This window comes from Homo sapiens, chromosome 13, assembly GCF_000001405.40.
Source record: "Homo sapiens chromosome 13, GRCh38.p14 Primary Assembly".
NCBI classification, from domain to species: domain Eukaryota; kingdom Metazoa; phylum Chordata; class Mammalia; order Primates; family Hominidae; genus Homo; species Homo sapiens.
Window position 1 is genome coordinate 32229235 of NC_000013.11, and position 15532 is coordinate 32244766.

The 15532-nt window shown below is 38.7% G+C and overlaps 1 protein-coding gene across 6 annotated transcripts in view; it reads left to right on the forward strand.

Moving 5' to 3' along the window:
- FRY (FRY microtubule binding protein) overlaps positions 1–15532 on the forward strand; it is a 267352-nt gene that overhangs the window by 197461 nt on the left and 54359 nt on the right. For all 6 annotated transcript variants that reach the window (XM_047429999.1, NM_001411012.1, XM_047430000.1 and 3 more), the window contains 7 exons: positions 1945–2066; positions 5340–5527; positions 6844–6938; positions 8145–8752; positions 10018–10115; positions 10477–10647; positions 14808–14948. In XM_047429999.1, the coding sequence (XP_047285955.1) occupies positions 1945–2066; positions 5340–5527; positions 6844–6938; positions 8145–8752; positions 10018–10115; positions 10477–10647; positions 14808–14948 (1423 nt within the window). The remainder of the gene's footprint in view (positions 1–1944; positions 2067–5339; positions 5528–6843; positions 6939–8144; positions 8753–10017; positions 10116–10476; positions 10648–14807; positions 14949–15532) is intronic.

Genomic DNA, 15532 nt, shown 5'->3' on the forward strand with positions numbered 1-15532 from the left:
TAACCATTTAGCTTGTAAGGCTTCAGGATTTCTAACACCCTGCGGTCTGGTAGTTGTGTAAAACATGCTTACTTGTGACTGGGTGGCATGCTCCCCTTTCTCAGTGAGTTAAGTCCTGGAAATCTACTCTGTGTATGTGTTATCTAATATCTCATGTGATCTTGCTTTCTTCAGCTAATGCATCAATTAATGCAAACAATAAAAAAAGAGTATTTTCTTTCCACAATTCATGATTCAGGTTATTTTGTGCAGCTCTCAACTTAATGTGGGATTTAATGTGCAGGAAGCTTAGGACAGGAGCTGATGGTGCCTACATACAGTATGCCTGCACATACAGGGTACTTCAGAGACCCGCATGATTTGTGGAAAGGAAAAGTATTGTCACCACTCACCATCTGTCAGTACCACGTGTTTGGAATAACTCTCCTCTGAAGTTCTCCCACCTGGCTCCATTCCATTCTTACTGTTGAAAACCAAGTAGATGACAGAGGCTGTGTATTCAGTTTGATTGTACGGTATTTGCAGCTTGATGTGATCCTGATAAAAGCCTTATCTCTGCAAATGCTAAAATGTGAAAATTGAGTCCATGTCTAAATCTTTATTTCACTTAACATTTGATATCATTTTACTTAACAAACAAACATGTAGCACTTATGATATGCCAAGCACTGTTCTGGTGAATTGGGAGGTTTTAATTTTGTAAATGAATTTAATTTAAAACATTTTAAAATGACTCTATAAATTAGATGTGTTTTGACTATGCTGATAAGGTTTATAAGACTGAAATGTACTTCCAAAATAATTCATAAAATTGTTTAAAATATTTTTTTAACTCACATTTTAAGTTCAAGGGTGCATGTGCAGGGTATGCAGGTTTGTTACATAGGTAAACGTGTGTCAAGGGGGTTTGTTGTACAGGCTATTTCACCAGCCAGATGTTAAGCCCAGTATCCATTAGTTGTTTTTCCTGATCCTCTCTCTCTTCTACCCTCCGCCCTCCAGTAGGCCCCAGTGTGTGTTATTCTCCCCAATGTGTCCATGTGTTCTCACAATTCAGCTCCCACTTATAAGTGAGAACATGCGGTATTTGGTTGTCTGTTCCTGCGTTAGTTTGCTAAGGTGATAGCCTCCAGCTCCATCCATGTCACTGCAAAGGATATAATCTTGTACCTTTTTATGGTGGCACACTATTCCATGGTGTATATATAGTTTGCTAAGGTGATAGCCTCTAGCTCCATCCATGTCCCTCCAAAGGATATAATCTTGTACATTTTTATGGTGGCACAGTATTCCGTGGTGTATATTTCTTTATCCAGTCTGTCACTGATGGGCATTTGGGCTGATTCCGTGTCTTTGCTATTGGGAATAGTGTTACAGTGAACATATGCATGCATGTGTCTTTATAATAGAACAATGTATATTCCTTTGGGTATATACTCGGTAATGGAATTGCTGGGTCGAATGGTATTTCTGTCTCTGGATCTTTGAGGAATCGCCACACTGTCTTCCACAATGGTTGAACTAATTTATACTCACACCAACAGTGTAAAAGCCTTCCTTTTTCTCCACAACCTTGCCAGCGTCTATTATTTTTTGACTTTTTAATAATCACCATTCTGACTGGTGTGAGATGGTATCTCACTGTGGTTTTGATTTGCATTTCTCTAATAGTCAGTGATGTTGAGCTTTTTTTATATAATTGTTGGCTGCATGTATGTCTTCTTTTGAGAAGTGTCTGTTCATGTCCTTTGCCCACTTTTTAATGGGTTTTTTTTCTTGTAAATTTGTTTAAGTTCCTTATAGATGCTGGGATTAGATCTTTGTCAGATGCATAGATTGCAAAAAATTTAAATATGTTATATGTTTGGAGTCAGGACTGTATGTGTAGTTTTAAAAATGCAAAATGACAGTTATATTTTTGACATTTTGTGTGTTTTGTTTAAGGGCATTTGGTCCACTTTGGTGCCATGAAGACATCACACCTAAAAATCAAAATTCAAAGAGTGCTGAACAGCTCACTAATTTTCTACGTCACGTTGTATCTGTATTTAAAGATTCCAAATCAGGTACTTCATCTTATTTGCACAGATCCCTCTTTCAGCATTGTTCTGTAATGGACACTGTCTCTATATGATGATTACAGCGCCTTAAAACGGTCCTGCACTCCACATCCATAGCACGAGCATATTCACAGGGGAGTTCTGAAGCTTGTTCAGATGCTGCCTAACTGCATGGTATTTAATGCCGTGTATATTTGCATTATGCTATATCAAATAATTTTCCCAACATACTTGTTCTACTTCTTTCATTTACCTTACTAGAATTAAACTGTGCCTATAACATTTTCTTTAAAGAAGGCTATGAGGAATAAATCTCATTGACTCTCATCAGTCTCAACAATGAAAAATAGTCTGGTTAAATGGCTGGTTGAATGGTCAAACAATTTTTTTTTAATTGTGATAAAATGTTTTTGGCTTTAAAAGTTTTTGCTAACAATTCCTGTGCAGATGACTATTCAATATTCTAAATACAGTGTGACTCCTTTAGCATTATGATACTTAAGTGTTTGCCTTCTGCTGAATTCCTTCAGGTCCAAGTTGGCCTGGGCTGATTTGTGTGTGAAACTTAAATCCGGTTTCTCAACATGTTGTAAAACCATCTCTACCTTTTTTTCCTCACACCAGGCTGGCAATATTAAATCCAGCTCCCTGGCTTTTCCAGCTGCTCTGGTAATTAGCACATTTCCCAGTTTGAAACATTTTGGATTAGCCACATATCTTTTCATTATCAGAGGACACTTACTAAAAAACAAAAGATACTGACAGACCGAAATGGGAGAGTCATTTCTAGGAATAGACTTCCGTTTCTAGTTTTGAGTTTCCCCTTTGGAATTTGTTTAAAATATGAGGACCTCAAAAGCCAATTAATAATTGAACACAGACTGAAGGAAGCAGTTTACTATTTGTATGTAAACCATTAATTAATCTAAAATCTTGGATTGAATGAAAATAATAAACATGAGAAAATGTATAAATGCCTTATGCTGAATTCTTGGAGGGTACTTCAGGCTGCATAAAGTCTAAGTCTTTTTGCACCTTGACCAATTTTTACTGATTCTGATTTCCTTGTACATCCCTGCTTTTGGCCTGTTTTCTCTATACATACACAATGTATTCCTGGAAACACGTGTTAGTCAGGGCGGCATAGCTGCTGTAACAAACAGCCCCCAGAGCTCAGAGGCTTAACACAACAGAAGGTTATTCCTGGGTCCTGTAACAGTTCAGTGCAGGTGTTTGGCAGGTGGCCTTCCGCTAGGTGCTTCAGGACCCTCCAGCCTGAGGCTGTGCCACCCCCTAGGCTGAGGCCTCTGCTGGGCCCTCTGCATCCAGCCAGCAGGTGGAAGAAGAGAGAGTGAGAAGAGGATTCCTCAGGATGAGTTGACACCCCAGGCTTAAATGGGGTATCCAGTGGGTTTTTTTCCACATCCCATGGGCCAGAACTCGGGCACCTGGGCACACCTAACTGCAAGGAAGACTGGGAAGTATAGATTCACTGTGTGGCTGGAAAGAAAAAGAAACCTTTTCCTTTTCTCAAAGGACACTGTTGTGATGGTGGAGTCTGAGGTCCTACTAGTACAGTTCTAGCCTTCAGGTTCATTGTGATTTAAATGAGCATTTGCTCATTTGAATCACATTTATCATTTGCCAGGGTACCTAATCTCCACACATAAAATCACAAAATCATTTGCCAGGGTACCTAACTTCCACATATAAAAAAAAATAGGTTAAGTAAACAAACCTTTATTTTGATAAACAAAATAAAGACATAAAAAGCTTTTTTGAAGCATCATTCATAAGATACGAGCAGCCTACATGGGTTTAATCCTACGTTTACTACCCTGAATGTGTCTGAAGTCAATTTTCCAGGACCCTCTGTTTTCTCTGCAGGAACATTTTCTTGTATAATCTATTTGTCCCTAGGGTCAAGTAGCCAAGCTGCAACTAAGAGCAATGACATTGAATTATCCCTTCTGGCCCACTTTCATGTAGCAGCCAAATGTGCTGCAGAGCCTCTGTGTCATAGAGACAGCCTAAGTCTCTGTTTTCATTCAGTCCTCCTACCCTTGTAGTCTGCTTTTCTCCCTACAGAGAGGCACAGCAAGTATATAATTTAATGACCTAGAATTCAGTCATGAGCTTTATCTTACATTTTCATTCCCATCTGATCAAATGGTTTTCTGATTACTGAGATTACCTTTGTACAATTGGAAAAACAAATATTCAGGCAAAAGTTTAAATTATGGCTGCCTTCTTCACAGTATCTACACTTCAATATCTGCATATCAATAAAGCAAAGACTTTGGCACAGGCCTTAGTTGTGTTTTGAGTTGAATAGATCCACTAACAGCTTTCCTCTCTTCTGAAATTTCCTCTACTCTAACAAACTTACAAAAAAAGGAGAGTATTCTATGTAAAAAAAGTAGTACAGAAGAATAATATGTGAAAATAGCAGAGTAATAAATAAGAATACATTTGTGAACCTATGTTATGTTTCAGACACTATACTAGGCACTTTGTAAGTTGTTTAATTTTCACAACAACTGTACGAGACAAGTTAAAGATAAGGAAACAGGCTCATGGAGAACAAATTCCTTTCCCAGAGTTAGAAAGCCTCTGATTCAATACCAGGACCATCTTGTTCCAAAGCCTTTTTCTACTACACTATACCTCCCTAAGATTTATTCAGAATTTGTTTTTATTTTAAAATGAGGTGGGTGCAGTGGCACACTCCTGTAATCCCAGCAACTCAGTAGGCTGAGGCAGGAGGATTTCTTGGGCCCAGGAGTTCATGACCAGCCTGGGCAACAAAGAAAGACCCTGTTTCCAAAAAAAAAAAAAAAAAAAAAGCTTGATGTGGTGGCTCATGCTTGTAATCTGAGCACTTTAGGAAGGCAGAGCAGGCAGATCACTTGAGCCCAGGAGTTCAAGACCAGCCTTGGCAACATAGTGAGACCCCATCTCTACAAAAAACACAAAAAAGTATCCAGGCATGGTGGCACATGCCTGTAGTCCCAGCTACTTGGGAGACTGAGGTGGGAGGATCACTTGAGCCCAGGAGGTAGAGGCTGCAGTGAGCCGTGATCATGCCACTGCACTCCAGCCTGGGCAGCAGAGTGAGACCCTGTCTCAAAAAGAGAAAAAAAAAATGGTTGACTTGTAAATAAGTACCACTACAAGGTAGCCCTGTGCCGTTAGCCTGTTTTAAACTTAGAGGTAACTTTGATGCCCCAGAGCATGTAGAGTAGAGACTGACCTATTCTGTGGCTCTTGTTACCCTAGGCTTCCATCTGGAGCACCAGTTGAGTGAAGTTGCATTGCAGACAGCCCTCGCAAGCTCTTCAAGGCACTATGCTGGTCGGTCCTTCCAGATATTCCGGGCCCTCAAGCAACCTCTGTCAGCACATGCCTTATCTGACCTTCTCTCAAGATTGGTGGAGGTGATAGGAGAACATGGAGATGAGATTCAGGTATGGAAGGGAAGACCACTGAGCTCGTGAAGGATGAGCTCTCTCATCTCAATGAGGTGTAAACTATTTTTGAGCCTTTCTTCTGTCAACAATTATTCCAGCCATCTGGACATGTACAATATATTTTTTCAATTTTAGAGGTTGACTTTTATATTTACAAAAATTATTCCAAGGAGCCTTGTTCTAGAAATTCAGTGGATATTATCTCTTTTATATAAGCCAACAACTGGAAATCCTCTGGTGGCTTCTTCTTTGTTGTTTTTGTGGTTGGTTTTATTTGGCAGGCGGCCAGGGGATTATTTTGTATAGTTTGGGGTTTCTGGCTGCCAACCTAGGATGCAGTTATACAGTCTCCCTACCCAGAGCAGGGACCTCCACTGTATCTGTCCAAAGCACTACCTCTCTCTCTATGGTTAGTCTCCAGTAGACTGAGAAGAGCTGAAGAAGGAATGGAGAGTGACTGCCACAAGGAGGCCCTCAAGATAGAGCCCAGAGATTGGGAAGCTGAACAGGTTGAGAGCTGCTGGCATTACAAGCTCTCTGGCTCCGGCCAAGTCCTTCTTTCCCTTCAGAAATGTTCCTGGCTGGGCAGTGGCTCAAGCCTATAATCCTAGCACTTTGAGAGGCCATGGCGGGCAGATCACTTGAGGCCAGGAGTTCAAGATCAGGCTGGCCAACACGGTGAAACCCCTTCTCCACTAAAAATACGAAAATTAGCTAGGCGTGGTAGCACACGCCTATAATCCGAGCTACTCAGGAGGCTGAGGCAGGAGAATCACTTGAACCCAGGAGGCAGAGGTTGCAGTAACCCAAATCGTGCCATTGTACTCAAGCCTGGGCAACGGAAGTGAGACTCCATCTCAGAAAAAAAGAAATGTTCCTGCATCTGAGGAAGCCTGCACACCTACAGACACTACCTGCTTCCTTCTTTCAGCCATCAGAGGTGCTGTTTAAAACACCACGGAGGCAGCTCTTCCTGTACCTCTCCTCTTGATCTGTGGCTTTCAGACATTGCCACTCTGTATTTCAAATGCCCACCCTCCCCTCAGCAGAGGGTCATGCTTACCCCTCGCTGTTGAATTTCAAATGAAAGTGATCTGTTGAGGCTCTTAGACATAGGAAAATAAATTTGTATGATTATCTGCTAACTCCTAAGCCATCTGAATTTCCTAAGTGGCCCTTAAAGCTTATTTTAGACTTCATAAATTAAAGCAGCAATAACATTATTGGAATACAGTTTACATTAATTAAATTTATCTTAGGAAATTAACAATGGTTACAAGCAATACAAAATGCTATCTTTGCATGTTTGGCAGGGTTATGTAATGGAAGCGCTCCTAACCTTGGAGGCGGCTGTGGATAACTTGTCTGACTGCTTGAAGAACAGTGACCTCCTAACTGTATTGTCCCGGTGAGAATCAGCTTAATGATACTTTGACATCAAGTATACTGCACAGGAGTATTTGGGAGATGCTGGACTTTAGGAAAAGTACAAAGAAAAAATCTAGTTTTTGAAGTATATTTATGACCTGAAAAAGTATGTGTAATACTTTCTTAAGTTAAAAAAGAAGTCATAATACACACAAACACACACACACACACACACACATTATATAAGTATTTTAAAACATCAGGAAGATAGATACTAAGTGTTATCTCTGAATGATAAAATATTAATAATTTTTCATTTCTTTTTTTGTCTGAGTATTTTTCCAAATTTTATGTAATAATTATCCTATTTATTACATTGGTAAAGAGAAGCAAAAGCTAAATATTATTTTTAAATGAATATATACAAAGCTTCTGAACTGTTGCCATAAAAACAGTTGGAATAAATGTTGACTTCATTCAAAGAAATTCCTACCTCAGTATCTTTTTTTTTGCTCCTGCCAATGTTTAATAATTCATTTCAAATTATTCACGACTCTATATTCTGTTTGTGTTATTGAGCTCATCTTGCTTGAAATTGAGTCGGTAATGTTATCTTGTATCCGATTGGGCCTTGTTTTATTTTTAAGTTGAGCATTTTTTATGGATAATTTTGGTATGATTACAAACATCACACATATTTATCTATATTAACATAAAGATTTATCTAAATCAGTAAAAATATAGCAAGAATGTTGACAAAGAGTTTTACCTTTTCAGCATAGACTTAGAAATAATTTTTCTTAAATTTTGGTAAGTACCAAAAATTTCCTTTGACATGAACATTTACCAGCTTCTTTCTGGATAGCATAATTCCCATTTCTGTTCTCCTTATCAGTCAGTTAACAGAATATTGAAGCTTATACCTATCAGGTACATTTTATTTCATAATTACTCCTACCCAAATTCAAGCAAAACATAAATGAAATATCAGTAAACTTTAAGGCCAATTATTGATTCCTCTACATTTTCAAGAAGTAGCAGTCAGTATTGGGCTTTTTGTTTTGTTGATGAGGGTTTCTCTTGTTTTGTTTTTTATAGCTTTAAAGATAAGGAAAAATAAATGAATAGAAAGTGGCATTTCTAAAGAATGATTTCCCTCCTGCAGTGTTTCTCAGTGGACTTGAAAGGACTGGCTTTTGGTGACACATGTTGGCATCCTATTAAACTTATTTATTTTTATACCCAGCTCTTCCTCACCAGATTTAAGCTCCAGCAGTAAACTAACAGCAAGCAGAAAGAGCACAGGACAACTAAACATGAACCCGGGAACCACCAGCGGCAACACCGCAACTGCCGAACGGAGCCGGCATCAACGAAGCTTCTCTGTGCCCAAGAAGTTTGGTGTCATCGACCGATCCTCTGACCCACCTCGAAGTGCCACACTGGACAGAATTCAGGCTTGTACCCAACAAGGCCTCTCCTCAAAAACCAGAAGCTCATCCTCCTTGAAGGACAGTCTCACGGACCCATCCCACATAAACCATCCCACCAACCTGCTGGCCACCATATTCTGGGTCACAGTGGCCTTGATGGAGTCTGATTTTGAGTTTGAATACTTAATGGCCTTAAGGCTGTTGAGCAGACTACTGGCACATATGCCACTCGATAAGGCTGAGAACCGAGAAAAGCTTGAGAAACTCCAGGCACAGCTGAAGTGGGCCGACTTCTCCGGGCTGCAGCAGCTGCTGCTGAAAGGATTCACATCCCTCACCACCACAGACCTGACCCTGCAGCTCTTCAGTCTGCTGACACCAGTGTCCAAAATATCCATGGTGGATGCATCCCACGCTATTGGTAAAGCCAGCCTCGTTCACCCTGTCTCAATTCTGATGGTGACTGTGTTCATCATTTGGTACAATAAGATAATATGAACTTACTGCTTTTAACAATTCTGCTTAAAAATGGTTCCTTGGGAGTAGTTTATTTTTTCTCATAAAATTCTATATAATGTAAATCTCAATGATCTGTATTATAGAAAATATTTTTAAGGCAGTAGCATAAAAGGGGCCAAAATTATTTTTAAGATATTAGCGATTTCTTTTTAGCTTTCCAGATCAAACTGCAGGTGCTGTTAGTTTATTCCATTGCTCTCGTACAGAAAAAAAAAATTTTTTTTTCTTAACTCCTAAATCTTTTATTTTTTTCTTTGCTTTTCTGCTTTTTGTTCTTCTTGGAAATTCTGTTGGTTTCCTCTTGTTTTGAATTAACCCAAATCAACAAACCAGATTTTTCATTTATGTCTTTTTGTTTTGTTTTGTTTTGTTTTGTTTTTGTTTTTTGAGACAGAGTCTTGCTCTGTCGCCAGGCTGGAGTTCAGTGGCGTGATCTCGGCTCACTGCAACCTCTCCTCCCAGGTTCAAGCAATTCTCCTGCCTCAGCCTCCGGAGTAGCTGGGATTACAGGTGTACGCCACCACGCCCAGCTAAGTTTTGTATTTTTAGTAGAGACGGGGTTTCACCATGTCGGCCAGGATGGTCTCGATATCTTGACCTTGTGATCCACCCGCCTCAGACTCTCAAAGTCCTTGGATTACAGGTGTGAGCCACCATGCCCAGCCAACAAACCAGATTTTTAATGCCATGGCATGTGACCCAGAATTCATTTCATGAAGCTATCGCTTAACAGAGAGGGACTAAGCCATTCCTTATTTTAAAGAGTCTTTTCAATTACATGACTAAGACTTAAATTGGTTGGCCTATGTCCTCTCACACCAGTTTTTCTTAAAATATGTTTTTTTGATAAAAATTTCAAACTAGTACTCAGTTTGGCTCAGTTCAATCTGCGCCAAAAACATCTGGGCCAGCCATCCTTATTCACAATAGTCCAGTGCAAGATAATCACTGCATCTTAAAATCGCAGATCTACTTTACTGTCTTCTTTGTAACTGGTGCAATTGTGGTTGTGCATTTTTCATAGATTTTGTGTTAGATCATGTTTAAGCTGATTCAAAAAACTGCTTTTGCATCACCTCAGTATAAAAATCTGTAACATGCCTTCCCACTGTTAACAGCTAAAATATACCATATTCAGCTATCTCCATTGTATCTTCTCTAATCCAGGGTTTCCACTGAATGTCTTGTGTCTCCTGCCTCAGCTGATTCAGCATTTTGAAAATCCCAATCAGTTCTGTAAGGATATAGCCGAAAGGATTGCTCAGGTATGAGTTACAGTTCCACACTCAGGCAGATCCATAGAGGCCTTCAGGACGCCCTAGTGTCAGGCAAATTACAAGGCCCAGAGATGGCAGTGATTTTCTCAAAAACTGGAAATAATAACTAATATCACAGTAATGGAAATATAGGGGTGGCTGATGCAAATTGTCTTGCTTGCTTTCATTCTTGAGAATGCAGGTGGGAAGAATTTGTGAAAATTATATTAGCCAAGCTAAGTATTTCCTGTAATTACCAAAAAGTGTATCAATCTACTTTCCAGATGGCCAGAGCTTATAGTAAAATTGCTAACATTTCTTCCTATTCATTGGGCTATTTTATTCCTAATTGATTTTTTTATTTTAAAAGGTTTGTTTAGAAGAGAAGAACCCCAAACTTTCAAATCTTGCACATGTCATGACTCTTTATAAAACGCACAGCTACACGAGGGACTGTGCCACGTGGGTCAATGTGGTCTGTCGATACCTTCATGAAGCATATGCTGACATTACCTTGAATATGGTTACCTACCTGGCAGAGGTAAGCTTTTTTTTTTTGTTTTTTGAGACAGGGTCTCATTATGTTGCCCAGGCTGATCTCAACTCTTGGGCTCAAGCAGTCCTCCTGCCTTCGCCTCCCAGAGTGCTAGGATTACAGGCGTGGGCCACCATTCCCTGCCAGAGGTAAGCTTTGAAATGAAGGATAAAATCTATTATAGCTTCCAAGGGTAAATTATTTGCATAAAATTGATAATACACTCAGTATACTCTTAACTTCCATATAGTGTGTGCCTATTAAATATTATAATACATGCTAATGGAATCATTTTAAAATCTCACAACAGCACAGTGATGTAGATAATATCATACAGATCTGAGGCTCAGCCAGGTTAAATAATTTTTCACAAGTTTAAAGCAGCAGAGTCAGCCTTTAAACCTAGATATAGCTGCCTCCAAAGCTTAAACTCCTTCTGTTTATTATGGTAACACCTGTCAGTACACGGCACAGATCAGAAATTTTTATCCTAATTACGCTGGGTGTTCAAATCTTATTTAAGGAGTTACCTTGTGGCTTGATATGTTTAATGGTTGTTTGATCTAATTATCAAAGCATACATTCTGAAATAAACTTTATTCTCGCCTTTTATGTTTGTTTTTAAAACTGGAATGGTACTTTGTCATCATACCAACGTGTTTCTAGTATATTCATTACAAACCCTACACTGACCTCTGTGTACGTTGGTGCTAGAAATACATAGAATATTGTTGGGCAAGAGATGAAATGTATTCCGTTTAGCATCTTCAGTCTCCAACAAGTTTATTACACAAGGTCATGAAATCTATAAGGCAAATGACTGGTAATCGCTACGTTGTTTTAGCATTTTCAGTGTTGCTTTTTCCTTTGTGATACGCATTCATAGCTATCACTAGCACCTTTCAGAAGAGATGAGGACAATCTATCCTAGTTTTTCTTTTATTTATATCATCAATCCAGATGCCAGATAGGTTAAAAATCAGCCATTTTCTCAAAGGCTCCACAAGCCTGAAAGCATCTACCTAGCAGAGGAGAGATGCCCCATCCATCAACATTTATAGTTGATCGTGCAGGATTTTGACTTGCAATACAGATCAGTAATGTGTGACCTGTGTTCAGACTGTCAGCAGCCCAGGATTCACTTGCTATTTCCACATCCACATCTCTGACATTTTAAGGAACCTCTCATAAGTACCACCTTGCTGGTTTTAATAGTCATCTGGTCATACCTGTCCCTGCAAGAGTTAACTAAGCAAGCACACACACACCTCAGCACAGAAGTAGTACTGAGAGAACTGATTTGTTCTGCTTGCAAAGGCAGACCTTGCCTCCTTTAAAATAAGGTGAAGTGTAGATAGCAAGGAGGTAACATTTGTCTGGCTCAGTAACCATAAGAAGTTTCAAAAATGCAAATTGTACGTAGCATATATATACAAGGGAGTATTATTCAGGAAGAAATTCTGATGTGTGCTTCCACGTGGGTGAACCTTGAAGACATTATGCTAAGTGAAATAGGCCAGAGGACAAAAGGACAAATATGACAAGATTCTGCTTATATGAGGTACAGAGATTAAGCACATTTATAGAGAAAATGTAGAATAGTAGTTACCAGGAACTCAGGGCAGTTCGTAGTGGAGAATTATTATTTTGTGGGTACAGAATTTCAGTTTGGGATGATGAACAAGTTCTGGAGGTAGATAGTGGTGATAGTTGCATAATAATGTGAATGTACTTGAGAAAACAGGTGGAAAGAATTTGTGAAGATTTTATTAGCCAAGCTAAGTACTTCTGTAACAACCAAAAAGTGTATCAGTGTACTCTGGCAGTCTGGAAAGTAGATTGATACACTTTTTAAAAAAATGGTTAAAAAGGTAAATTTTATGTTATGTGTTTTTTACTACCCATAAAAAAATTGGTTATCTAATTTGTTCTGTTCAGCCCTTATCACAAAATTGTCACCAAAAAATTTATTATGAACTTAACCAAGGTCCCACTGTATATAATATATATTAACTTCTGTTTCAATTACACATTCTTTCAGGTCTTGGCTATGCACATACATATAATTTTGTGTCACTGTGGTATTCCCTGGAACCTTCTTTGCTCACTTATTATTAACTGTGTGTGTATATTTCTATGTGTTGGGGTAGCGCACAGAGTGCTGTTTTAAATAACTCTGGAAGTCTATCAGGTTAAGGTAACACAGTTTGCTTAACCATCTCCCTTTTGTTGCTAATGTTCATAATTTTTTCCATTACAAATGGTCTTGTTATGTAGATCTTTATCAAATGATATTTGAAATTTGATCAAGTAATAATAGATTTTATCAAAATCCTTTTATCACATAATATCAAATGACTCTACATTTCCTGAAGTCGAATTATTCAGTCCTGTGGCATGGATTGTGGGTATGTTATTTAGTTCTTCAACATATTCGAGAAGTTGGTCTTCATAAAGATCCCCCCATTTGTAATACTATAAACAGTGTATAAATATTCTTGTTTTCCTGTATCCCCACTAAATTTTGTCATTCCATTTATTTTTTAATTTAACACTTTTTATTAATAATTTTGAACTATTTTATGTATTTTCTTTCTAGTAAAGATATTCATTTTTCCACATTATAGATTTACATAATTATTTACTCATGTTTTTTGTTTTGTTTTGTTTTGTTTTGAGACAGAGTCTTGCTCTTGTCACCTAGGCTGGAGTGCAGCAACATGACGTTGGCTCACTGCAACTTCCACTTCCTGGGTTCACACAGTTCTCCTGCCTCACCCTCCCGAGTAGCTGGGATTACAGGCACCCACCACTACGCCCAGCTAATTTTTGTATTTTTAGTAGAGACTGGGTTTCACTATGTTGGTCAGGCTGGTCTTGTACTCCTGACCTCAGGTGATCCACCCACCTCAGCCTCCCAAAGTGCTGGGATTACAGGCATGAGCCACCGCGCCCTGCTCTTTCCTCATGTTTTAACCACTCCGTAAATATTGTGTAATTTCAACATTTAGTTGGATCATCTCTATCAACTTTTTATCTTAAACAGTAAACTTTTATCATGATGTCTGTCACATATATGTTTTCCTTATTTTGCTTTCCTTTTGGTCAATATCATTGATTTTTTATGATTATAAAAGCAGTATATATTCATAACAAAATTTGGAAGTTGCAGGAAAGTTTTTAAAAAGAAAAGAAAAATTACCCAGAATTGTAGAGAAACAATACTAACATTTTAAAATTTATTTCCAATGTTATTTCTATGTAACACACACATTCATGTCAATATTGGCATCATCTATTAAAAAGACAATTGTGTATCCTTCATTTCCCACTTAATATTATCTGATATCCTCCACTGCCTTTAAAAATGTCATTCTATTAACTGCATGACGTTTCATTATACAGTTTGCTGTTAACTTATATATCCATTTCCCTAGCGTTCAATACTTGAATTGCTTACAAAGCTTTCTTGTTTTGTGTATGTTTTTTGCCATTATAAATAATGCTATGGTGAAATCTTATACATAAATCTTAATGTCTATCTCTGGTTTGAGAAACATTCCTAAAAGTATAATTACTGTGTCAAAAGATTATGGACCTCTTCATTGCTCTTGATCTTATTTGCCAAACTATCCAATTTACATTTCCACTGATATGTAAGAATACTCATTTCTTTATCTCCCCATCAATACTGAGTATTATCAATTTCTAATCTTTGCCAGTTTGATAACTGACAGATTTTATCTTTTGTTTGAATTTGTAATTTTTGATAATTGGTGTCTGATGCTTTCCTTTTAGGTGTTTTTAAATATTTCCTCATGTGAATTTTATACTTACATATTTACACCTCCACACATGATATAGTCTATTTTGATAATATCTTCAGTTCTTCATAGTTAGGATTTTATTTCCCCTCCTAAGGAAATGTGCAATCAAGCCAGGCATGGTAGCTCTTGCCTATAATCCCAGATACTTTCGAGCTGAGGCAGGAGGATCTCTTGAGGCCAGGAGTTCGAGACTAGGCTGGGCAACATAGCAAGACCCCATCTCCTAAAAAAATAAAAAATAAAAAGGAAATGTGCAATCCTAAATGTGTTGGAAAACACGGGTCCTTCCATACGGAGATCTGGTGTGTGACTGACTCCAGCCGCACTTTGCCCCCACAGCTGCTGGAGAAGGGCCTCCCTAGTGTGCAGCAGCCCCTGCTCCAGGTGATCTACAGTCTTCTCAGCTACATGGACCTTTCTGTCGTTCCTGTCAAACAGTTCAATGTGGAAGTTCTGAAGACAATTGAAAAATATGTGCAAGTGAGTACTTGGATAACTTCACTAAGCAACCAGTCGTTCTAAAAAGATGGAGGCTTTTCCTGTAGCTTGGCTACAAAACCATCTGGGTGCCAGGCCACTCATTCATTCCTTGACATCCATGGCACAGCCAGGGCAGTTAAGAGTGGGAGTTGGCCACACCCTGAGTAGTATTCTGAAGAGAATGAGAGCACAAGACCCCGGCACACTCCGGTGCCTTTAAAAGGCACATTTCCGCCTCTTGGGGCCACAGGCTGAGTATTGAAAGCACACGCCTGACTTGGAGGGCAGAGGCAGAGTCTTGGTTTTTTTATCCCGTTTCAGAGAAGGAGAGGGGACAAGGAACTGTAGGAACTTTCACATGTGCCGGGTTCTAGGCCCGGTGTTTCAACATGTGAAGGATTATTCAAAGGCTAAAACTGTCACTTTAGAGTTGAAGAGTGGTTAAGAAACTTGCAGAAATATACTTGAAAATACTGCAACAAACAAACAAAAAACATTTGTTTGAGGGGATAAATAAAACAAGATGACAAAATGTGAATAGTTGATGAATAGTACAAAGGGATTCATTAGACTAGTCTCTCGGT